Raw genomic sequence first — 24,264 nt, 5'->3', positions numbered from 1 at the left:
CAGCAAGCCTGCCCATGGATCCTGAAGACACTTGGTCTAGAATCTCTGAACAGGCTAACTGGTAAAGGGCTTTCCCTGCTGAAGCCAGTTTGTAAAGAGAACAAGAAGAGCTTACTTCTTCAAATGTGCCCACACCAATACAAGTCCAAAAGATCGTGAATAATCAGAGAAACATGACATCATCAAAAGATCAAAATAAAGCACTGATGGTACAGGAGTTAAGAAATTATTTAGGCAGATAGTGAGGGTAAGGAAGTCCTTGGTAAGGTTTACCTTTTAATGAAAAGCAACCCACAAATCATTTTCTTTTTGTTTGTTTGTTTGGAGACAGGGTCTTGCTCTGTCGCCCAGGCTCGAGTGCAGTGGCACAATCTCGGCTCACTGCAACCTCCACCTCCTGGGTTCATGTGATTCTCCTACCTCAGCCTCCCAAGTAGCTGGGATTACAGGTGTGCCCCACCATGCCCGGCTAATTGTTGCATTTTTTAGTAGAGACAGGGTTTCTCCATGTTGGTCAGGCTGGTCTTGAAAATGAAAATAAATCAGTTCATTCTGCCAGAGATAAGAAATCACAAGCAGTTTCATACAAAAAAGACCTGGTCCATAAGGAGTTCTCTCCCAGCTCTGTCCTAGTCAGACAGATTAAATCAAGGCCCTGGAAAGACCCAGCAAATCTAACAGGAGAAGAATCTATGCAGAACCTATTAGATCAAGGATACCCCCAACAGATCAGGAGTACCAGTCCATGACCTGTTAGGAACTGGGCTTCACAGCAGGAGGCTAGTGGTGGGAGAGTGAGCAAGCAAACTTTATCTATATTTATAGCAGCTCCCCGCCTTGCATTACCATCTGAGCTCTGCCTCCTGTCAGATCAGTGTCGGCATTAGATTCTCACAGGAACACAAATCCTATCGTGAACTGCACATGGGAGGGATCTAGGTTGCGTGCTGCTTATAAGAATCTAACGCCTGATGATCTGTCACTGTCTCCCATCAACCCCAGATGGAACCATCTAGTTGCAGGAAAACAGGCTCAGAGCTCTCACTGATTCTACAATATGATGAACTGTATAACTATTTCATTATATATTACAATGTAATAATAATAGAAATAAAGTACACAGTAACTGTAATGTGTTTGAATAATCCCGAAACCATCTCCTCACCCCTGTGTGGCTGGGACTACAGGCATGTGCCACCATGCTAGGCTAATTTTTTTTTGTATTTTTAGTAGAGATGGGGTTTCACCATGTTGGCCAGGCTAGTCTCAAGCTCCTGGCCTCAAGTGATCTGCCCACCTTGGCCCCCAAAAGTGCTAGGATTATAGCTGTGAGCCACCACACCTGGCCAATAAGTGTTCAATGATATTATTAATAAACATATCTACCCTGGTTTCCTGAAAGCTCTCCAAATTCAATATCTTCATAAAATCATTGCCTTCCCTACCGTCACCCTCTGACCCTCACCACCCCAAAACGGCTCCTCCATCTTCCATATACTGGTTTCAGCACAAATATCCTCATTCAATGCAGAAAGCTAGTTGTCATCCTTGACTCCTCCATCTTTTTATTCTCTTCTCAACTCTCAAATCCACCAACCCTATATAGCTATTGACATTTTCTCCCACTTTAAGAGCTCATAAACTCTCACTGATGGTATTTTTTAGTTATGGGAATCCCATGCAGGATAAGAAAATAGATTTCATTTTCAGTTATAGATTGGATGGAATGGTATTCATGATTGAAATAACTTGCTCAAAGCAGTTATCTAAAAGATAAAAAAGTAGTAAAATGTATAATAAAAATGTATGACCTGTGCCTGCTCACAAGAAGTTAGGTATGCTGCAATTATAAATATGCTTTGTCATCTCTCCAACTTTCTGTGAACTCTATCACAGCCAAACTGAAAGTCATTTTAAATCATTTCTTACTAATATCATCTTCTATAAAACTTCAACATATGCTCTTTATTAATATTTTCAGTTGTCATATACACTTTTTATAATTGCCCTATAGGATATTTTAATTCACAGAATTTTCACAGCATGGATTTTTAATCCCTTTTTATAGGAGACCTGTATTAGCCCATTCTCATATTGCTATAAAGAAATACCTGAGACTGCATAATTTATAAAGAAAATAGGTTTAATTGGCTCGCAGTTTCTCAGGCTGTACAGGAAGCATGATTCTGGCATCTGCTCGGCTTCTGGGAGGCCTCAGAAAACATATAAACATGGCTTCAGGAAACATGCAATCATGGCAGAAAGCGAAGGGGAGCCAGCACATCTTACATGGCCAGAGCAAGAGTTACATACTTTTAAACAACCAGATCTTGTAAGAACTCTATCAGGAGAACAGCACCAAAGGGATGGTGCTAAACCATTCATGAAGGATCCACCCCCATGATCCAATCACCTCTCACCAGGCCCCGCCTCTAACACTGGGGATTACAACTGAACATGAGATTTGAGCAGGGATACAAATCCGAATCATATCAAGACCTAAATCAGATTTTCTAAGTTCATTTGTGCATTTATTCTAAATATGCAATCAGGTAAATGGTTTTTAAAATTACGTTATCTTTTTTCTAAACTTAGAATGTATAATATATTCAAACAAATAGTCAGTAGCCTCTCTCTGCCTTTTAAACTACTCAAAACTCTTCTAGCCTTCTAGAATCATTTTGTCCTATATTCTTATTGAATAGTATGCTGTCTAAATAATACAGTCCAAAATACCTCTATGTTGCTGATAAAAATACTCTGGATGTTTGTCTAATTTCCTAGTTAAACAATGTAAGAATGCTGGTCTTCGTCAGGTTTACAATACAATAGGACTAATGGTAGTAGTAATATATAAACTTGTGATTTTTTTATGAGTTTGCTATGACAGACTGTTATATTCAGTTTCTAGAATGATTTTATTAAGGTGATTTACATCTTACTGTATTAATAAATAGAAGTGCAAATGCAAATAAATTAATCTACCACTGTTAAGTCAGTATTTACTAGAATGAAGTTCCACACAGCCATTGCCCAGATGAAATGGAATAATCAAAAATGATGTAATTTGAAAAATACTTTTAAGTATATGCTAAATTACATATACTTAATTTAGCATAAGTACATGCTAAATTGCAACTCTATATGAGAATAACAATGAGCAGCTAGAAGAATACACAGGTTATGAAGGCCTATGTGCTTAAATTATGAAGGTATAATGCACTTAATCAGAAAGAGATTACATTGAAAACACAGAGCACCTTCCTCTGAACATCATAGCTGCAGCTGCAAACCAAAAGATAACTTGTATACTTCTGAAATGTGAGAATTACTGCAGGTCATATATCACCCTTCCACACCCTTCATTTCAATAATCATGACCATTAGTAACATTATTCTTCTACAATAAAAGTTAACAACTAACAAGTGAACTTTTTATCTAGTGTTGTCTCAAGAGATACCAATATCCTAAGAAAACTAATAACTGTTGTCAAAAGAGAGAAAGGAATAATTTAATACCCACATTAAAGTTGCCTTTCTATAAACACATGATACGCCTCTAGACAGTGAAATGGGCTTAATTTTGTTCCAAAACTTTAATTTCATGTTGTTCTCACTAGACATGCCTAGGTCAGTATTTAGTAACAGATGAACAGTTAGATATATGTTCTGGCCTGTGAGAAAATAATTTACCATACAGTGTAAGTTTACTTATTTGCTCTATGCATCCTAAAAGGTCTGGGAAACATTAAATTATGTTTAAAAAATTTCATTTCTCTTTATTTTGATCCTATGTAAAATAGAAAATTCATAACTGAGGAAAAATTCAATCTCTAAGACCAACATGTTCATAGTAATTTACTACTAACAACCTGAGGTTATTTATATGTAATAAATGAGAAAATGTGTTAAATTATCCTACTTCTTAAAACATGTATAGAGGCAAAAACATACAGATGAGTACTGGGCAATGATCATCATGCACTTCCTTTACTGCACTTCTGCATTTCTGAAGAAAATCAACTCTAGATGTTTGTATGGCTTCCCTGCTGCATACTGCATATCTTACTAGTGTTTCCATTAGGAATGTTTTTGGGTATAAGAAGCAAAAAAACATTGACTACCGGTGACAGAAACAAATTTGGGAAGGGAATATTTTTCTCACATTGGGAAAAGTATCTGATTACATTGAATCAGTGGCTTGACAATGTCATGACTAATGACTCCAGTGCTCTTGGCCTTTCCTTCATCATCACAAATGGCTGGTCAAGTTAAAACATTACTTTTGCACTAAAAGGTTGTGCCAGCTACATTTTTTTTTAACTTATGACCTCCCAGCAGCTCTCAAAGACTTTCTTATAACTCATTTGCTAGAACTGTGTCACACAGCCATTCCCAGTTAGAGGAAAGCTAAGAATATTTTATATTTTTCCAGTCTATCTAGTGGGGATTGCAAGAGGGAAGGAAGTTAAAAATGTCTGTTGGAGGAGGGGCACAGTGGCTCATGCCTGTAATCCCAGCACTTCAGGAGGCCGAGGCATTTGAGATCAGCCGGGCCAACATGGCAAAACTCCATCTCTACTAAAAATACACACAAAAATGTACCCAGGGGTGGTGGCAGGCGCCTGTAATCCCAGCCACTTGGGAGGCTGAGGCAGGAGAATCACTTGAACTCGGGAGGTGGAGATTGCAGTGAGCTGAGATCACACCACAGCACTCCAGCCTGGGCAACAGAGTGAGTGAGACTCCTCCCTCCCCACCCCCACAAAAAAAAAAGGTTGTTGAGCCATTGAGCAGAGTCAAAAACAGTCTCCTTTTTCAGCTACTCAACATTCCATATGTATATTTTACATGTAATACATTCACCTCCTCCATAAAGGAGGTAATCCCAAAGTTTCATCTAGTTATAAAATCTAATTCCAAATCCAGGATCTCTGAGGAAAAACAAATCTTACCATCATGGCCCAGTGTGCATCATTGTGAACCACTCAACTATACACTAGAAGACAAATTACACCTGTTCCCAATACACCCAATACACAATGACTGAGAAAAAACAGGGTAACTGTAATAAAAACTCTCATTCAGAAGTATGAACAATAATAAATATACAGCAACAACTGTCCATAGCACACAGCAACCCATATATGAACAATAGCTTAGTTTCATTGGTTAACCTATCTAGCTGCCCCTGATTGAGCTATCTAGATATTTTCCCTTGATGACTGTCTTTCATGTCCCTTGATTCTACCTTGGCAGGATGTCCCTTGCCTATTATCCTCCTTGGCATTAGATACGATTGGGACTAGCAAGTATACTCTTCTTAGAGTCTGTATGGCATTCACATGCACTGCTAGAATATACATCATATTGCTAGTATGAGTTCAAGAGCTTGTATATTGCCTTAGAAGTTGAAAACTCATAGAATTTGCTGTCTAGACTTAGGATTACTTTAACCATTAGCCACATGTGGTTATTTAAATTAAAATTAATTAAAATTAAAGAAAATTTAAAATTCAGTTTCTCAGTCAACCAGCCACTTTTCAAGTGTTCAATAGCTAGCTATATGTGACTAGAACCTACTGAATTGGATAGTGAAGATGTAAAACATTTTCATCATTGCTGAAAGTCCTATTGAACAGTGATGCATAGTATTATAAAAAGGCCTGCTGAATTTTATTTGCAATGTCCCAAATCCACACAAAATTATACTTTTATCTTGTAGTCAATATTTAGTTTGAAATATAGACTGTTATATTATGAAATCTTATCAATGCATAAAAGTCATTTCTAAAGCTGAGTTTTATCATCAAGTGCCTCATTTCTGGGATGGGTATCAGAATTCATTGTGGAAGCCACAAACAATAATTAGACCATTATGCATCCTGCATTAACTCTGGACACAAAAGTAGCACCAGAGATTCTAAAGGTTATAAATTGCCTGAATTATGCTACTTGTGAGTCAGAAAATCAGGTGGGCTGGAAGATAGCTTATAGGTTCTCTAGGGAACCTGTCCCAGATCAAGGATGACGCACAGTCTGGGACATGTCTACAGAAATTGACCCATATATCTTCAAAACTGCATCTAAAATTTGGGAGGATTCCTACAGGTTTTTTTTTTTTTTAAGGAAAGAAAAAGAAAGAAATTGCAGTAACCTTTTTTCTACTAAGAGATTTTATTCTGAACCCACATTCGATATTTGCCACCATCTACATCATCCCCAACTGAGTAACTAAAGACTTGGAGAGGAAGAAAAAGGCTCCAACTGGTAAAAGAAAAAAAAAAAAAAAAAAAAGAAGGCACTATTTAGAAACTATCAGCTGAATGATATTCTCTTTGAGTTTTATGCCAATTTGAAATGGGAAAACTTGAAAAGTCCTCAACTTTAAGTCTGACTCATCCAAAAGAATCAGATAAAATGATTTTTATCTATATTTGCAGGGAGTCATCAGTCTCCATGGCAGATCCAAATTCAAATTAGACCACTAAGGGCACACACTAGCAGATTATTAAAACCTAGCCGGTAGTCTAGTCGTATCTACCTGAGTATTTTAAAGTATGAATACATCCAACATTTAACATGAAGATAATAAGGTAAACATTTTACCAAATTCTAAAACATATAAGAAAAATAAAATACATGAAATACTTATAATCAACTGCCAAATATATACTTCAGAAAATTCATATTCAGTGTTATTACTTCAATATTATAACAGTTAAATCTTTATACTAAGTCAGAAGGTTAAGATTTTAAAACCTTATCAGTGCAATGATGAGTTTAGCATAATAGAAGATTATAGAAATTTATCACAATGAGGAATACTATGAGGTTTCCTTGAAAAAAATGCTAAATTCTAAAAAGGCAAGCCTTTTTAAAAATCAAATAATCAACTTTTCATCTATAATATATGAAGTGTAAATAATTTAATGTAAGTTTTTCAGTAAAAGCAGATAGCATGCTTAAATAAGCCATAATGTTTAGCAATTACCATGCATCATAACTATAACAAAACACTGAGAAGTATATAAATTAAATATAGCTATAAAATTAAAACTGGCAATAACAACAATAAGGAAAAACTAATATTAGACAGAAAAAAAGACTCTAACCACTTTGTCCTCCTGGAGTGAATATCCACGAAAGCAAGTTAGAAAAGACAGAAAAGACAAAACAAAAAAGAAATAATTAATTCCATTCTTAAAACAAGTAAGAGTTTTAAAAAGTTTTCTTACTGAAATTAAAATTCTGAAAATGTCTAAATTACATTTTGACTGAAATCTAAAATTCTAGATTTTAAAAAATTTTAGGGGAGATTTTTTTCCATACATTTCATTCAATTCAAGCAAAAGCATGCTACATAAGAGAATATATTAAGATATATAAACAAAATAATTTCCATAACAGCAATTAAACATCCAAACATTGGGAAAAAAAGAATACTCTTCCTACAAACAAAATCAGTTAAACACTGAGCTCAAAAAACTGAAAAATGTTTAAGAAAAAAGTTTTATATACAAAGACAATAAAAAACATAGCATCAATGTTTAATTTCATCATATACTATCAAAAGTAGATAAAATGTAATTTTCATGAATTACACATATTGTTTCTGAAGTTTATCTCTGTCCCAATTATTCAGAAGTCTTTTATACTTAATATAACTAAAAAGAAAATCTTTTTGAAGTTGTTATTATTGATTACCACTGGTAATTTGGGGTCACTGTTTCCCAATATGATAAGTGTGGAAAATAAAATGAGAAAATACATATTTTGGTCAAAAGGTGATTTAAATACACTACAAAGTAAACTCCTTTCATTTCTCTTTTCTTTAACATAAAGTAACGATAACAGTGAAAGTGATAATGCAATAATAATGGCTGATACAAGAACTTACAATAATTAAAACCAAAATCATGTGTTTTGAGATATCACTGTTTCTTTGAAATATGGGTGATAGTACAACATTTGTGACTCAGAGGAAAGACAATCGCAAAGTCCTATATTAAAATCCCACATTTTGGGGAGCTGAACAATCAGAACACATGGACACAGGGAGGGGAACAACATACCATACACTGGGGCCTGTTGGTCGGGGGCAGGCAGTAGGGGTTGGGGACGTAAAGCATCAGGAAAAATAGCTAATGCATGCTGGGCTTAATACCTAGGTGATGGGCTGATAGGTGCAGCAAACCACCATGGCACACATTTACCTATGTAACAAACCTGCACATCCTACACATGTATCCTGAAACTTACAATAAAATTAAAAATAAAAACAACATCTTGTCTCACTTCAGATCTTGCACTATAGCCACTCAATAGTGCTGCCTCTATATAATGCCAGTGTCCTTGGTTGATTTTATATCTCTTTTCTCTGTAATTTAATTGATCAGCTAATTATTTTAGGTCATAATTACTAGACCTGGAAACTCCAGTGGTAACTTGAAGTATGCCCAGGAATATTCATTAAAAATTTAATAATATAATTACATGTTAAAATTTCTTTTAAATAGTCAACATCTTACCCTATTTTATTATCTAAAAAAATTTTATACCAACTACTTTTTTCTCATAATCAACCATCCTTATGGCCATCCTTACTATCTTATCACTTCTAATAATCAGTCACCCTTCCTCTCCACAAGATCAATTTACTTTAAGTATTACTCCCAAATCTACCTTCTCATTATCACTTATATATCATTGATTCTATCATTATTTTCCACCTCTGATATTTCCTCTTATCGTGGCATCATTTCAGACTATATATGACAAAATCATCTGTCAATAACTATTCTTTGTGCAACTTTCCATGATTAGTTCCCCAGTCTCCTAGGAAACTAATGTTAATTTCCCCTCAGAATCCTTCTTTAGATAGAGGTATTCCATCTTTCTGATCCCTCCCTCTGTATCAGTGCTCTATATTCTATATAGTTAAACTACCATCACTTGCCTCTCACTTCTTGACTACCTTCTCTAATCAACCCAAAAATACCTCTCTTTCACACCACTACAATATTCTCTCTCAAGGCTGGTCTTCTTTTTTCCAAGAATAACAACAATTAAATTCTGTCTGTATAGTTTATATTTTTAATTCATCCACAAGTTTAGATTGTTATCTTCCATAAAACATTATCACAGTGCTGAGCTACAGCAAAGAGCTGGACTTAAATGCAATGCTTATCCCATAATAACATGCCCATAGTAAGTACACTAGACTTCTTTGTTCCATTAATTCACTGACCCATTATGTGCCAAAACATAGAAGCCTACAGCAGTCAAGGGGAATTAAACAGATCTAATCAATTAATAATAATACACTTTTGAGAGTACTAGATTGGAGGTCTGAAGAATCCAGTGTGGCACAAAAAAGTGAGTGGTTAATTCACAGGAGATACCCAAAGAAAGCATCATAAAGGAGATGATGCTTAAATCCAGAAAAATAAGTAAGTGCTCATCAAGTGGGTAAGAATTGTGGACTGGGAGTGGGATCTAGAGGGGATAAAAGAAGTATTTCAGGAAGAAAGAAAAAAAGGCAGAAATAAGAGAAGTGTAAGTAGTATAATCTGGTTAAGACATCTAGAATGGAGTGAAGCTCATGCCTAGAGTTAGGCAAGGAATAAATCAGAGAGCGGTGACTCTTTATGCCATTAGAAACTTCACTCAGGTGATGAGGAGTCACTGAATCATTTTTAAACAGAAGGTAAAAATAATCAAATCTGCATTTTACAAATCACTATAGCAGTATTTGAAGGATGTGATTAACAGGCCAAAACTGAAGCAGAGAGACCAATTAGAAGATTGGCCTTAGTCTAGGTGACAGAAGATAAGAACCTAAAAAAGACAGCATCCGTAGTTTACATAGAGAGACAGGAAATGATAAAATCAAAAAAATTTGGGGAAAGGAAAGAAATCTGAGATGATTCCTACCTTTCTGGCTTAGATGACAAAGTGGAAAATAGGGCCAATTAAAAAGTTGAAAATTATAGGAGGTGTAGATTTGTGGGTTCTTCCAGCAATAGGAAATACATAGAAAGTCTGCTTGGACTAAGTGAGATTCAGCAGTATTCTAATGTATTTACCGCAAAGGACTTAGAAACACAAGATATTAGGCCGGGCATGGTGGCTCATGCCTGTAAACCCAGAACTTTGGGAGGCCGAGGCAGGCAGATCACCTGAGGTCAGTAGTTCGAGACCAGCCTGGCCAAAGTGGCAAAACCTTGTCTGTACTAAATATACAAAAATTAGCCAAGCATGGTGGTGTGTGCCTGTAATCCCAGCTACTCAGGAGGCTGAGGCAGGAGAATCACTTGAACCCAGGAAGTGGAGGTTGCAATGAGCCAAGATTGCACCACTGCACTATAGCCTGGGCAACAGAGTGATAATCCATCAAAAAGAAAGAAAGGAAAGGAGGAAAAGAAGGAAGGAAGGAAGGAAAAGAAAAATCCAATGTCCTATTTAATGGATTTTTACATAAAATAAGTTAAAAATAAGGATTATTACTACACTTTTATTTTAACTTCAAAAAAATTCTTTTATTTTTCATTTACTTTTTGCTTATGTTTGAAATTAAAGGTTTCTGTTAGGAATCCTTGAAAAGAAATTGGGTAAAGTTAACTGGATATTCCATTTAAAAGGGATAAAGGAATTCATGACCAATGTCTAACCCACCTTACATGTCTTGCCTGCTTTCCATTTCCTTTGTGTTTCTGTATCTACAGTCTGTTTTACCATCCTGCAGTTTTGGTGATGTCATGAATTTTTTATATCTTAAACTGTTGTATAGTCTCCTATTATGATTAGAATTCATTATAGATTCTATTATTAATCTTCCTTATATATGCTAAATGAAATCTATTTAACTTGGTACTCACCTTATCTACTGATAAGGAGCTTAACTACTGATGAGCACATCATGTACAAAGCAGTATCCTTGACACCAAGAGATTAGGAACAAGTGGATACCAAAAGCAGCTTTCATATGTAGATGTACCAACAACCAAGCATACCTTGCCTTTGCCATATGTCCAGTGAGCTAAGAGTATTTTTTCTCTAATCTAAAATAAATCTCTAAAACCATATACTCCTACATATTTTTAAATTAACATTTAAGTTTTAAGCCAGGCATGGTGGCTCACACCTGTAATCCAAGCACTTTGGGAGGCCAAGGCAAGAGGACTGTTCGAGCCCAGGGGTTCGGGACTATTTCCTGGGCAAGGTGGCGAGACCCTGTCTCTATTTAAAAAAAAAAAAAAAAAAAAAGTTTAAAAATTAAGCGGGTGAGGCGGTGTGCACCTGTAGTCTCAGCTACTCAGGAGGCTGAAGCAGGAGGATTCCTTGAACCCATGAGTTCAAGCCTCCAGTGAGCTGTGATTGTGCCTCTGCACTCTAACCTGGTTGACAGAGTGAAACCACATCTCTAAAAAAAAAAATTGAAAACTAAAATAAAGTTTAAATGGTTAGGATGCATTTTCAGATATATTGGGTATTGTAAAAGTACATTTTAAAAGTGTGATATATATATATATATATTTCAGATGGGGTCCGGCTCTGTTGCTTAGGCTGGAGTGCAGTGGCAGATCTTGGCTTACTCCATCCGCCGCCTCCCAGGCTCAAGCGATCCTCCCACTTCAGCCTCCCAAGTAGCTGGGACCACAGGCACTCACCACCACGCCTAGCTAATTTTTTGTATTTTTGGTAGAGATGAGGTTTCACCATGTTGCCCAGCCTGATCTCAAACTCCTGAGCTCAAGAAATCCACCCCACCTTGGCCTCCGAAAGTGCTGTGATTACAGGGTTGAGCCACCGCACCTGCCTGATATATTTTCATCAAATCTTGGAGCTGCATATTTAGCTTATACACGGAATATATATGGCAAATGTCTACTATAGAACCCATTTGGCAAACCACTCCACACTGTTAAACCATCAAATCTGGCTTTCTATCAAAAAGAGTCCAACTTCATTTTTAAATTAAAATTGCTATTATAATGATTCACAAATGGCCATCTCACATCCAAATTCTAATTCTAAAAACAATAGAAGAGGCAATAGAATCTTGCCAAAAATCTGTTGCCTGAATGAAATAAGGCGCTGCCCTCTTCTATATTTCTTACAAACCTTCTCATTGCTTTGCCTCTGAACTCTCCCTGAGGACAACACATTCTGGAATTGTCACTTTGTGTGGTGCCCCAGAGATTTCTACACCCTGAGCCAATGTACTACATAAAAGCTAGATTCAGAATAGGTAAGGCTGAGGAATGTACCTTTCTTTTGAAAAATAGAACAATTGTAAAAGTGAGTTGAAAAAGAAAGATCCACAAAAAAGATAGTGTTCTAAGGTAGATCAACTTTAAGAATATGCTACTAAAATCTTTGCCCTTGAAGTTATTCACACCAGTTACTCCCAAAAAGCGTTCCTTCCACAGTAGGTGATACACTATCTCACTTTCAAGACTACTGTAATATATTTCAGAGTATAAAGAACTTGTGAACTCATCAGAGATTCCTGAAGAGAAACAACCCCCAAATTGGCAATGTATATCAATATATTTCAAAGAACTTGCTTAAGAATCACTTTCTAAAAATAAAATAAAATTTTTAAAAATCACTTTCCTTTATAACCATTATAAAATTATGTCATTATGCTTCAAATCTGATAATTTATAAAGTGAAAAAATTCATGTTACATTTTAAGTTAAATAATACAACTGTGGAAATGTACATTATTTATTTTTTTCTAAATTAGTGATTAAGCAGGTGGTAATATACTTTTCTTACCAAAAAGTAAAAGAAACAAAAAGTTAAAGTTGCCACACTCTGACGCTTAAAATAATCCTTATTGTAAATTACTTTTAATGTCTTTCTAACATCACTATCCAATAATTACAAAATAATTGTTTTCTTATGAAGTCATTATTTTTTCACTTGACTAAAAATATGGCTTTTATTTATTAAGAGGGTATAATCTGAAAAGGAAACAAAGAGAACCGATATTTCGTAAAATTTTGTTGTGTTGGTACTTCCATATGTCCTGCCCTTCATTTATTTTCTATGTCCTAAATGTACCTCAAGAGAATTAACTAAATGTTAAGGATGGCTCCACATGAAAGAGCCTCAAAATTAAAACAAAAGATTATTTTATTATATTCCCTTAAAAGATTACTAAGAGAATTTTTAAATAGCTTTATAATTAAATCATAAGCTATATAATATTTGTGTTCTCATTATTCTATTTCATAAGCTTAGTAAGACCAACTTTCACTGAGATTAATCCTTTTGGGCTATGAAAAATCAAAGAAATGTATTTAGTACCTGTTGGGAACAAAAGCCTTCTACATAAGGCAACTAAGCATGATGATCAAATTTGAAAAAAAAATACATTCCAGAGTCTTTTTATTTAGAATATAGGCAAGTTTTATACATGACAAGTCTCTTGCTTGAATAAAAATGTAGAAAAACTAATGAAAGAAATCCAGGGATGTCTTCCTTGAGCTAAAATCTATCTTTACAAATCCTCAGACTTAAGGAAAATACAAGATAAGTGGGGAGTATTGCCTCTGGCTCCATCCTTCTTCCATAAACCATCCCTATCAGGCTAACCCTCAACATATAAAGAGACAGAGTTGATACACAAAGCTGCACAGAGACAGAACCCAAGAGAACTCCAGGGGTTTCTTCAAGTCTTCAGCTCAGTAATGATCGGTGAACATACATATGAGAAAAATACTCAAGGGAATGGGGTTAAAGAAAAAAAAAGAATATCTAAAAGAATTAGAAAGAAAATAGTTGTTCCTACCAGCAAGACTGGAAAAACTCCTAATTCATGGGATATTGGTTAAAGACTCAGTCTTTCCTCTGTAGAGGAGAATAATTAGTGCTAAACTGAGCATTGCTCCAAATATACCTAACAAACCCTCAAAGAATGTGTAAAAGTATCAAACTGTTTCCATGTAACTTAACTACATCTGAAAGCTCAAGAAGTTACAGAAACACAAAAATAGCCAACATCCAACAAAGTAAAATATACAACACCTGTCATCCAACCTAAGATACCACACATGAAAAAAGTACAAAAAAAAAAAAAAAACCCACATACCGTAATGAGAGTAATCAATCAAAACTAACCCAGACTCAAGGGGGGTTAGAATTAGCAAAAGAGAATATCGAAACAATAATTATAACTGTATTCTACATGTTTTTAAAGTTACACAGAGCATAGAATATATCTTAAGTCCCAAATTAAAGTTCTAGTCATAAAAACTACAATGACTGTGATTATTAAAAAATATACTGAATTTTATAAACAGCAGATTTGACATTGCTACAATGTCTGTGATTATTAAAAAATACACTGAATTTTATAAACAGCAGATTTGACATTGCAGAAGGAAAGACCAGTAAACTTGAATGCACATTAATATAAAGAATACAAAATAAAACACAAGGAAAAAAATAAAACTAAGATTAAAGGAAAGAACATAAGTGAGCTGTAGGACAATTACAAGCTGCCTAATATACTGGGAACAGGAGTTCTTGAAGCTGTCTAGAGAAAGGAAGGAACAGTAAAAATATTTGAAAAATAATGGCCAAAATTCCCCCAGGCCCTCAACAAACCTCAAACCAAAGAGACACAAAGAAAAATACACCAAAAAAACAATTTAATTGCACACAACTAGTGTTAAAAAATACTTAAGCAGCAAGTGAAAAATGCTACATTATGCACAGAAAACCAAAGATGAGAATGATATATTTCTCAATGGAAACAGTGAAAGGGAGGAGGCAGAAAAGCAGTACATTTAAAATATTGAAAGAGAGAATGATTTAGGGAAGGTGGAGCAAGATGGTGAAAGAGAATCTCCTGTGATCATGTCCCTGGCAAGAACATCAACTTTGAACAACTATCTACACAAAAAGGCACCTTCATGAAAATTAAAACATCACATGAGAGATCACATACCTAGTTTTAGCGTAATAACAAGAAAAGATGCATTGAAGAGGATGAAAAGAACAGCACTGTCTACACCACTCCTCACCCAACCCTAGAGAGCACAGCCAGAGGAAAGAATATATGCTTAGAGTGGAACATTAACACCAGGCAGAATTCCACAAGTGCCCATGGAGGGAGTATTTAGAACAAGTCCTGGAGCAGAAGAGAATCTGCCACCCCAGCAGGAAGAACCCAAATCCCGGTCCACTTCACCACAGGCTAACAAAAGTGGCCTTGAGCCGTGAATAAATTTCAGTGGCATCCAGGCCATAGCAACTGCAGTCCTTGGGTGAACCCTGCCACTGCACTACTCTCGAAGGCTGTTTACTCCAAGTGCAACCCAGCATGAAACCTTCTGGTGGTATCCATTAGAGAATGCCTGCATCACTCCTCTCCCGACTTCAGGCAATACAGTGCAGAGATTCCTTTTTCTTAGAGTAAACAGAGGAAACTTTTTCTTACAATTGGGTACCAGCCCAGCTACATTAAAATAAACCACCAGGCAGGATCCCAAAGCTCCCAGTTGGCCATTGGTTCTGGATGGTCCTTCTAGACGCACCCTAGGCCAAAAGGAAATATGTTGCCCTGGCAGTACAAACCCAAGTCCCAGCAGGTTTCACCGCCTGTTGACTACAGTGGCCTTAGCCTTAAGTAAACATCAGTTGCAGTCAGGCAATAGTGGCCAGGGTCCTTGGGCAAGCCCCTGTACTGTGCTGATTTGAGACGCCATGGGATTGGAATATAACCCAGCATGGTGCCACTTGCTATGGTCACAGCAGTGCCGAGTCACCCATCCCCCAACTCCAGGCAACACAGTGCTGAGAGGGACCCCTTTCACTTGGGGAAAAGGGAGAAAAGAAAGCTAAAGACTTTGCCTGGGAACCTTATCTTCCCCAAGTCCACCAGGGCTGGATCGCGAGGATTTGCAGCACACATGGGCTTAGAGTGCCCTCTAGTGCTGAAATGGCTACAGTTACCCACAGGCTTAAGTAAATACTCAGTACCCTTAACAATTATTGGAAGACCCTCTGAAGGACTGGAACAAGGCCTGACTACAAAGACTGGAATAAATACTTAAAGTCTTCAATGCCTAGGCATCAACAAACATACACAAGCATCAAGAACATTCAGGAACATATGACTTCACCAAATTTACTAAATAAGTTCCCAGTAACCAACCCTGGAGTCATAGAGATACATAATCTCTCAAGCAAGGAATTCAAAATACCTATTTTGGGGATACTCAATGAACTTCAAGAAATCACAGAGAAGGAATTCAGATATTTATCAGAAAAAAAGGCAGCATGGAAACTGAACTAATTAAACAAATCCTGGAGCTGGAAACATCAATGATTAAAAGAAATGCATTAGAATGTCTCCGTGTGGAATTGATGAAGGAGAAGAATCAGTAACTCGAAGACAGGCTATTTGAAAATTCGCATAGGATAAAAAAGAAAATAAATGAAAGAAATGAAGTACACTTACATGATCTAGAAAACAGGCTACAAGGGAAAAATATATGAGTTATTGGCCTTGTAGAGGAGGCTGACAAAGAGATTGGGTAAAAAATGTATTTAAAGAAATAATAAGAGAACTTTCCAAACCTAGAGAAAGATGGATATACAGGTACAAGAAGGTCAAAGAATACCAGCAGATTCAACTCAAATAAGACTACTCCAAGACATATAATAATCAAACTTTCAAACATCAAGGACAAAGAAAGGATCTTAAAAACAGCAAGAGAAAAGAAGCAAATAACATATAAAGAAACTCCAATACACCTGGCTGCAGACGTAGCAGCAGATGTAGCAGCCAAGAGGAAGTGAGGTGACATATTCAAAGTGCTGGAGGAAAAATTTGCAACAGAGAACTCTGTACTCAACACAGCAATCCTTCAAACATGAAGGAGAAAAGTTTTCAAACAAACAAAACCTGAGGGAATTCATTACCACTAGACCTATTTTACAAGAAATGCAAAAGGGAGTTAATCAATTTTTTTTTAAAAAAAAGAAACAATCATCCAAAAAAATCCTGTGAAGGTATAAAACTCACTGGTATAAGTAACTACACAGACAAATTCAGACTACACTAAAACTGTAATTGTGGCATGTAGTGTCTTTAGTATGAAGACTAAAAGTTTACCAAAAGTAATAACTACAACAATCTGTTGAAAGAAAGGCATATTTAAAAGATAAAATGTGAGATAACAAAAACTAAATGGGGAAATGAAGCTAAAGTGTAGTTTTCACTTTGCTTGCTTGATTCTTTTCTTTGAAATCCACGGGAAGTTGTCATCAGTTTAAAATAACTTTCTATAACTATAAAATATATTTTGTAAGCTAATAGAAACGACGAAGAAATACCTATAATAGGTCCACTAAAAATAAAAAGCAAGGAATTAAAATATAATACCAGGAAAAAAAAATGACTTATCCACAAAAGAAGACAGTAGGAAAGAAGGAAGAAGGAACTTACAAAGCAACTAGAAAACGAATTTTAAAATGGTAGTAGTAAGTGGTTACTGATCAATAATACTATCGAATGTAAATTGCCTAAATCCCCCACTTGAAAGACAGAGGAGTGAAATGAATTTAAAAAAAAAAAAAGATCCAAATATATGCTGCCTAGAAGAAACTCACTTGCTTAAAGACATACATGCATGGAAAAGATATTCCATGTAAGTAGAAAACAAAACAGATCAGCAGAAGCTATTAGATTTCAAGTAAAAAACTGTAAAAATGGCATTATTTAATGATACAGGGGTCAATTCAAGAGATATAAAAACTGTAAATCTATATGCAACCAATGTCATAGAACCCAAATATATAGGGAAAATATTATTACATCTAAAAGAAGAGAGAGATTGCAATACGATAACATTGGTGAATATCAACACCCCGCTCTTAGTAATGAACACAGCACGCAGGCAGAAAAAGCAACAACAACAAAAAATCAGAATTAAACTAAACTCTAGACCAAATGGACCTAACTGACATTTACAAAATATTTCATCCAACTGTGACAAACTATACATTCTTTTCATTAGCACATATAACATTCTCCAAAACAGATCATATCTTAGGCCAGAAAACAAGTCATAGTGAAATTTTAAAAGTAAAAATCATATCAGGTATCTTTTCTGACCATAAGGAACAAATTCAAAATCAGTAAAAAGAGGAATGTTGAAAACTGTACATATACATGGAAATAAAACAACATGCTTGTGAATAACCAATAAGTCAATGAAGAAATTAAGAAGAAAATTTAAAAATTGTCTTGGAACAAATTTAAATGGAAATACTAAATTACTAAAATCAGTGGGATCCAGTAAAGCAGAGGGAAGTTTACATCAATAAATGGCTAAGTCAAAAAAGTAGGAAGACTTCAAATAAACAACCAAATAATGCATGTTAAAGAACTAGAAAAGCAAGAATAAATCAAGCCCAATATTAATAAAAGAAAAAATATAATAAAAAAGCAGGAATAACTAAAATTGAGTCAAAAAACACAAAAGAAAAATGAAAGGAAAAGTTGGCTTTTTGAAAATGTAAACAAAATTAACAAACCTCTCACTAGGAAACTAAGAAGAGTCCAAAATAAATAAAATCAGAGATAAAAAAGAAGACATTAAAACTGATACCATGAAAATACAAAGGATCATTAGAGACTACTGTGAACAAATATATGCAAAAAAATTGAAAAATACACAAGAAATGGATACATTTCTAGACACATACAACCTACCAAGATTGGATCATGATTAAATGGAAAACCTAAACAGACCAATATAAGTAAAAAGATTGAAGCCATAATAAAAAGTCTGTCATCAAACAAAAGCCCAAGACATGATGGAGTCACTGCTGAATTCTATCAAATATTTAAAAGAAGAATTAATACCAATCCTACTCAAACTCTGCCAACAAGTTTTGAAGAGGAGAGACTACTTCCAAACTCATTCTATGAGGCTAGTATTAACCTGAGAATGAAAACAGGCAAAGACACAGAAACAACAACAATGACGACTAGAGGCCATTATCTCTGATGAACGAACATAGATGCAAAAATCTTCAAAAACATTCTAGCAAACTGAACTGAATAAAACATTATAAAGATCAATCACCACAATCATCCCAGGAATGCAAAGATGGTTCAACATTCACAATTCAATAAATGTGACACACCACAATAATAGAAATAAAGACCAAAACCATACAGCCATGTTAGTACATTCCAATAAAAGCATTTAATAATGATTTTTAAATCTGAACATACTAGATATAAAAGAAACATGCCTGAAAATAAAAAAGGCCATATTTGACAAACCTACAGCTAGCACCATATGGAAGGGAAAGAATTAAAAGTCTTTCCTCTAAGATCTGGAACAAGTCTAGGATACCCACTTTCACCGCTTTTATTCAATATAGTATTGGAAATTCTAGCAAAAGCAATTAGGCAACAGAAATAGACAAAAGGCATTAATATTGGAAAGGAAGAAGTCAAATTAGACTTTTACACAGATAACACAGTCTTATGTTAAAACCGTAAAGATGACACCAAAATCTCTTAGCACTCATAAACAAATTCAGTAAAGTTACAGGATACAAAATCAACATACAAAAATCAGTAGCATTTCTCTACGCCAGCAGCAATCTGAAAACAAAATCAAACAAGCAATCCCATTTATAGTAGCTACAAAAATAAAATAAAATACCTAGGAATAAACTTAACTAAAGAAGAGAAAGATCTCTACCATGAAAACTATAAGACACTGATGAAATAAATTAAATACCAAAAAAAAGGAAAAGTATCCTATTATCATGGATTGAAAGAATTGCTACTGTTAAAATGTTGAAACTACCAAAAGCAATCTATAGATTCAATGCTATACATAAAATACCAATGAAGTCCAGGCGTGGTGGCTCATATCTATAATTCCAGCACTTTGGGAGTCTGAATGGGTGGATCACTTGAGGTCAGGAGTTCGAGACCAGCCTAACCAATATGGCGAAACCCTGTCTCTACTATGAATACAAAAATTAGCTGGGTATGGTGGTGTACGACTGTAATCCCAGCTACTCAGAAGGCTGAGGCAGGAGAATCATGTGAATCTGCGAGGTAGAGGCTGCAGTGAGCCACGATTGTGCCACTGCACTCCAGCCTGGGCAAAAGAGGAAGACTTTGTCTTAAAAACAAAACAAACAAACAAACAAACAAAAACAATGACGGAAGTGTGAGAGTGAAACCAGCCAGGACAACATAGTGAGATCTCATCTCTACAAAAAAAATCAAAAAATTAGCCAGGTATGGTGATGCATATCATAGTCCCAGATACTCAAAAGGCCAAGGCAGGAGGATCATTTGAGCTCAGTGGATCAAGGCTGAAGTGAGCCATGACGGCTCCAATGCACTCCAGCCTGGGTGACAAACTGAGATCTTGTCTCAAAAAAAAAAAAAACAAACTCACAAAAACACCCAACAACATTCCTCACGAAACAGAAAAAAGAAGTCCTAAAATTCTAATGCAACCAAAAAGATGCTAGATAGCCAAAGCAATTCTTAGCCAAAATACAAAAAAAAAAAAAAAAAAACAGCTGGAGGAATTACATCGCCTGACCTCAAAATATGCTATAAAGCTAGAGTAACCAAAACAGCATAGTACTAGCATAAAAACAGACATAGACCCAGGGAAAAGAACAGAGAATTCAGAAATAAATCAATGCATCTACAGCTAAGTCATGTTCAACAAAGGCACCAAGTATATCCACCAGGTAAAGGACTGTCTCTTAAACAAATGGTTCTGAGAAAATTAAATATCCATTAGCAGAATGAAACTAGAACTCTGTCACTGTATATAAAAATCAAATCAAAAGAAAGACTTAAATCTAAGACCTGAAACTGTGGCACTACTACTACAAAAAGAAGTAAACATGGTCTAGGCAAATATTTATTGAATAAGACCTCAAAAACAGACAACAAAAGCAAATATTGACAAATGAAATTACATCAAGCTAAAAGATCATGCTCAGCAAAAGAAACAATCAACAGAGTGAAGAGACAGCCCTCACAATGAAAGAAAATATTTACAAATTATCTATCCAATAAGGGATTAATAACTGGAATATACAAAAAACTCAAACAACTCAATAGCAAAATAAAAAATAATCAGATTTAAAAATGGACAAAAGATATAAATAGACATTTCTCAAAAGAATACAAACAAATATCCAACAGGTATATGAAAAAATGATCACCATTACTAATTATCAGAAAAATGCAAATTAAAGCCACAATGTGATGTCATCTCACCCTCATCAAAATCACAATTATGAAAAAGAAAATAACAAATGTTAACAAGGATGCAGAGAAAGGTGAACACTTGTATACTGTTGGTAGGAATGTAAATTAGTATAGCCACTATGGAGAAGAGTATAGAGGTTCCTCAATAAAAAACCTAAAAATAGAACCACCATATGATCCAACAATTCCACTACCACGTATGTACCCAAAAGAAAGGAAATAAACATACTGAAGAGATACCTGTATTACTCTGTTTATTGAAGCCTATTCACAATAGCCAAAATATGAAATCACCCTAAATGACCATCAACAGATGAAAGGATTCTAAAATGTTGTATATATACACAATGGAATATTATTCGGCCCTAAAAAAGAATAAAATTCTGTCATTTGCAGTGACATGGATGGAATTGGACGTCATTATGTTAAGTAAAATAAGCCAGGCCCGGAAAGACAAATACCACATGTTCTCATTCACATGTGGGAGCAAATAAAAAAAAAATTTGATCTCATGCAGGTAGTAAATAGAATGGTAATTACTGGAGGCTGGGAAGGGTAGGAGGAAGCGGGAATAAAGAGTGGTTGGTTAATGGGTACAAAAATATAGTTAGATAGAAAAAAGAAGTTCAGTGCTCAGTTACAACAAGAAAGAGACTATGGTTATCAGTAATTCACTGTATATTTCAAAATAGCTGGGAGAAAAGATTTGGGATGTTCCCAACACAAAGAAATGGTCAGTGTTTACTGTGACGGATATCCCAATTATCCAGATTTAATCATTACACATTGTACAGTTGTTATCATTATCACATATACCACATTAATATGTACGACTATTAAATATTATGTATCCATAAATTTTTAATTTAAAAATACTGAAATACAAAAAGTGTTAACCAAGAATTCCACAATCAGCAAAAATATCTTTTTAAAAAATGAAGGCAAAATTTTCAGCATGAAAAAATTGAAACTATTCATCAGCAGCAGACTTGCCCTTCAAGAAATACTGAAGGAAATACTTAAGACAGACAAAATGTGATACCAGATATAATTATAGATCTACAAAAAGAAATAAATAATGCCAGAAATAACTACAAGAATAAATATAGATCTTTTCAAAAATTATTTAATATTTGAAACTCATGGAAGATAAACTCTTTATACAAAAAGAATAACAATATATTGTGGGGTTTATAAAATGAATAAAAGTAAAATATGACACCAGTAACATAGAATCCAACATTTCTGTGAGCTTCTTATAATACACATGAAATAGTGTAATATCAGTTGAAGGTTGACAACAATAATTTAAATATGTATTCTACAAATCTTGAATAACTTGATAAAATAACAAAACAGTTACAGCTATTGAGCCAACAAAGGAGAAAATATGAATCATAAAAATACTTCAGTAATCTCAAAAAAGGCTAAAATTGAAAAAACAAAGAACAGATGACATAAGACAAAATCAAAAAAGCAAGGTGATGTAATCAAATGAAACCATATCAATAATCACAGTAAACGTAAATTTTATAAACATCCAATTAAAAGGAAGAGACTGTCAGGTTGAATAATAAAGCAAGATCCAACTATATGCTGGCTATAAGAAAAGTACTTCAAACAAATAAATTTTAAGTAAAATAATAGAAGAACATATACTATGTTAATACCTAACCCAATACATATATGCAATTCCATTTCCAAATATACATCTAGATAGAGAGAGAGACAGAGAGACAGAGAGAAAGAGAGAGTACTTGGTCTATATACATGTATTAGACCAAGTGAATTTTAGAGCAAAGAATATTACCAAAAATAAAGAATATCACTTAATAATGATAAAGAGGCCTGTTAAACTAGAGGATATAACAATCCTAATGTTTATGTCCCTAAAAACAGAGGCTAAAAATACATAAAACTATAACTAATAGAACTCCAAGGAGAAATAGACAAATCCACATATTATTATATATTTCAAAACCCCTCTCTTAACAAATGATAGAATAGGCAGGAAATCAACAGTGAGATAACAGATTTAAATGACTCTATCAACGAAACTGGCCTTGAGTGGGCATTTTAAAATATTCTGGCCAAAAACAGAAGAATATGCATGCTTCTTAAGTGCACATGGTTTACCAAAGTAACCATATTCTGGGCCATAAAATAAGTATCAACAAATTCCAAAGAATTTGAGGCATATAAAGTATATTCTAAAACCACGAGAGAGGTAAATTAGAAATCATTAACAAAAAGATCCCTAGGAACCCCACAATATTTGAAAAATAAATAACATACTTCTAAATTATCTATGTCAAAGAAGAAAAGGAAAATGAGAAAGTATTTTTAACTTAATAAAATGAAGAAACAACACATGAGAATTGTGGTGATGCCAGTAAAGTAGTACTTAGGGAACATTTATAGCATGTGACCCCTAATTTACAAAAGAAGAAAAGTTTCAAGGCAATGATCTCAGCTTCTATTTTAAGAAAGTAAAAAAGATAAAATTAAACCCAAAGTAAGCAGAAAAAGAAAAGACAAGAAAAGAAACGAAAAAAGAAAAAAAGATCAAAGCAGAAATCAACAACAAAGAAAAATCAATAAAACAAAAAATCTGGGCCAGACGTGGTGGCTCACACCTGTAGTCCCAGCACTTTGGGAAGCCAAGGTGGGAGAACTGCTTGAGGCCAGAAGCTCAAGATCAGCCTGGGCAACACAGCAAGACCCCATCTCTACAAAAATAATTTTAAAAATTAGCAGGGCATGGTGGCACACACTCATAGTTCCTGCTACTCGGGAGGCCAAAGTGACAAGATTACCTGAGCCCAGGGGGTCAAGACTGCAGTGAGCTGTGGCTGTGCCACTACAATCCAGCCTGGGCAACAGAGTAAGATCCTTTCTCTAGCCAGGTTGAGCAGGAACAAAAAAGATACAAATTACCAATATCAGGAATGAAAGAGGTAGCATCAATGCAG

At 34.9% G+C, this 24,264-nt stretch overlaps 1 protein-coding gene across 47 annotated transcripts in view, besides 3 other annotated features; it reads right to left on the bottom strand.

Moving 5' to 3' along the window:
* RIMS2 (regulating synaptic membrane exocytosis 2) overlaps positions 1–24,264 on the bottom strand; it is a 755,485-nt gene that overhangs the window by 532,659 nt on the left and 198,562 nt on the right. For 23 of the 47 annotated variants that reach the window (NR_145710.2, XM_017014015.3, XM_017014010.3 and 20 more), the window contains one exon: positions 7,116–7,127. The exons of the other annotated variants lie outside the window; for them this stretch is intronic. Coding sequence is in view for 22 of the 23 variants with exons in the window: in XM_017014015.3 (XP_016869504.1) it covers positions 7,116–7,127 (12 nt within the window). In the remaining variant the exon portion in view is untranslated. The remainder of the gene's footprint in view (positions 1–7,115; positions 7,128–24,264) is intronic. 47 annotated transcript variants of the gene reach the window in all.
* Positions 15,186–15,685: an enhancer, noted in NCBI's record as "H3K27ac hESC enhancer chr8:104719979-104720478 (GRCh37/hg19 assembly coordinates)". NCBI's record gives its function as "activates a minimal SCP1, AML or CMV promoter by ChIP-STARR-seq in primed H9 embryonic stem cells {active_cell/tissue: H9 hESC(primed)}" and the evidence as "EXISTENCE:reporter gene assay evidence [ECO:0000049][PMID:30033119]".
* Positions 15,686–16,187: an enhancer, noted in NCBI's record as "H3K27ac hESC enhancer chr8:104719477-104719978 (GRCh37/hg19 assembly coordinates)". NCBI's record gives its function as "activates a minimal SCP1, AML or CMV promoter by ChIP-STARR-seq in naive and primed H9 embryonic stem cells {active_cell/tissue: H9 hESC(naive and primed)}" and the evidence as "EXISTENCE:reporter gene assay evidence [ECO:0000049][PMID:30033119]".
* Positions 15,781–16,075: an enhancer, noted in NCBI's record as "tiled region #13468; HepG2 Activating non-DNase unmatched - State 12:CtcfO, and K562 Activating DNase matched - State 12:CtcfO". NCBI's record gives its function as "activates a minimal TATA promoter and a strong SV40 promoter by Sharpr-MPRA in HepG2 and K562 cells {active_cell/tissue: HepG2 | K562}" and the evidence as "EXISTENCE:reporter gene assay evidence [ECO:0000049][PMID:27701403]".

The sequence above is a fragment of the Homo sapiens genome, chromosome 8 (assembly GCF_000001405.40).
Source record: "Homo sapiens chromosome 8, GRCh38.p14 Primary Assembly".
Classification (NCBI taxonomy): Eukaryota; Metazoa; Chordata; class Mammalia; order Primates; family Hominidae; genus Homo; species Homo sapiens.
This window is presented reverse-complemented; position numbering and strand designations above follow the sequence as displayed.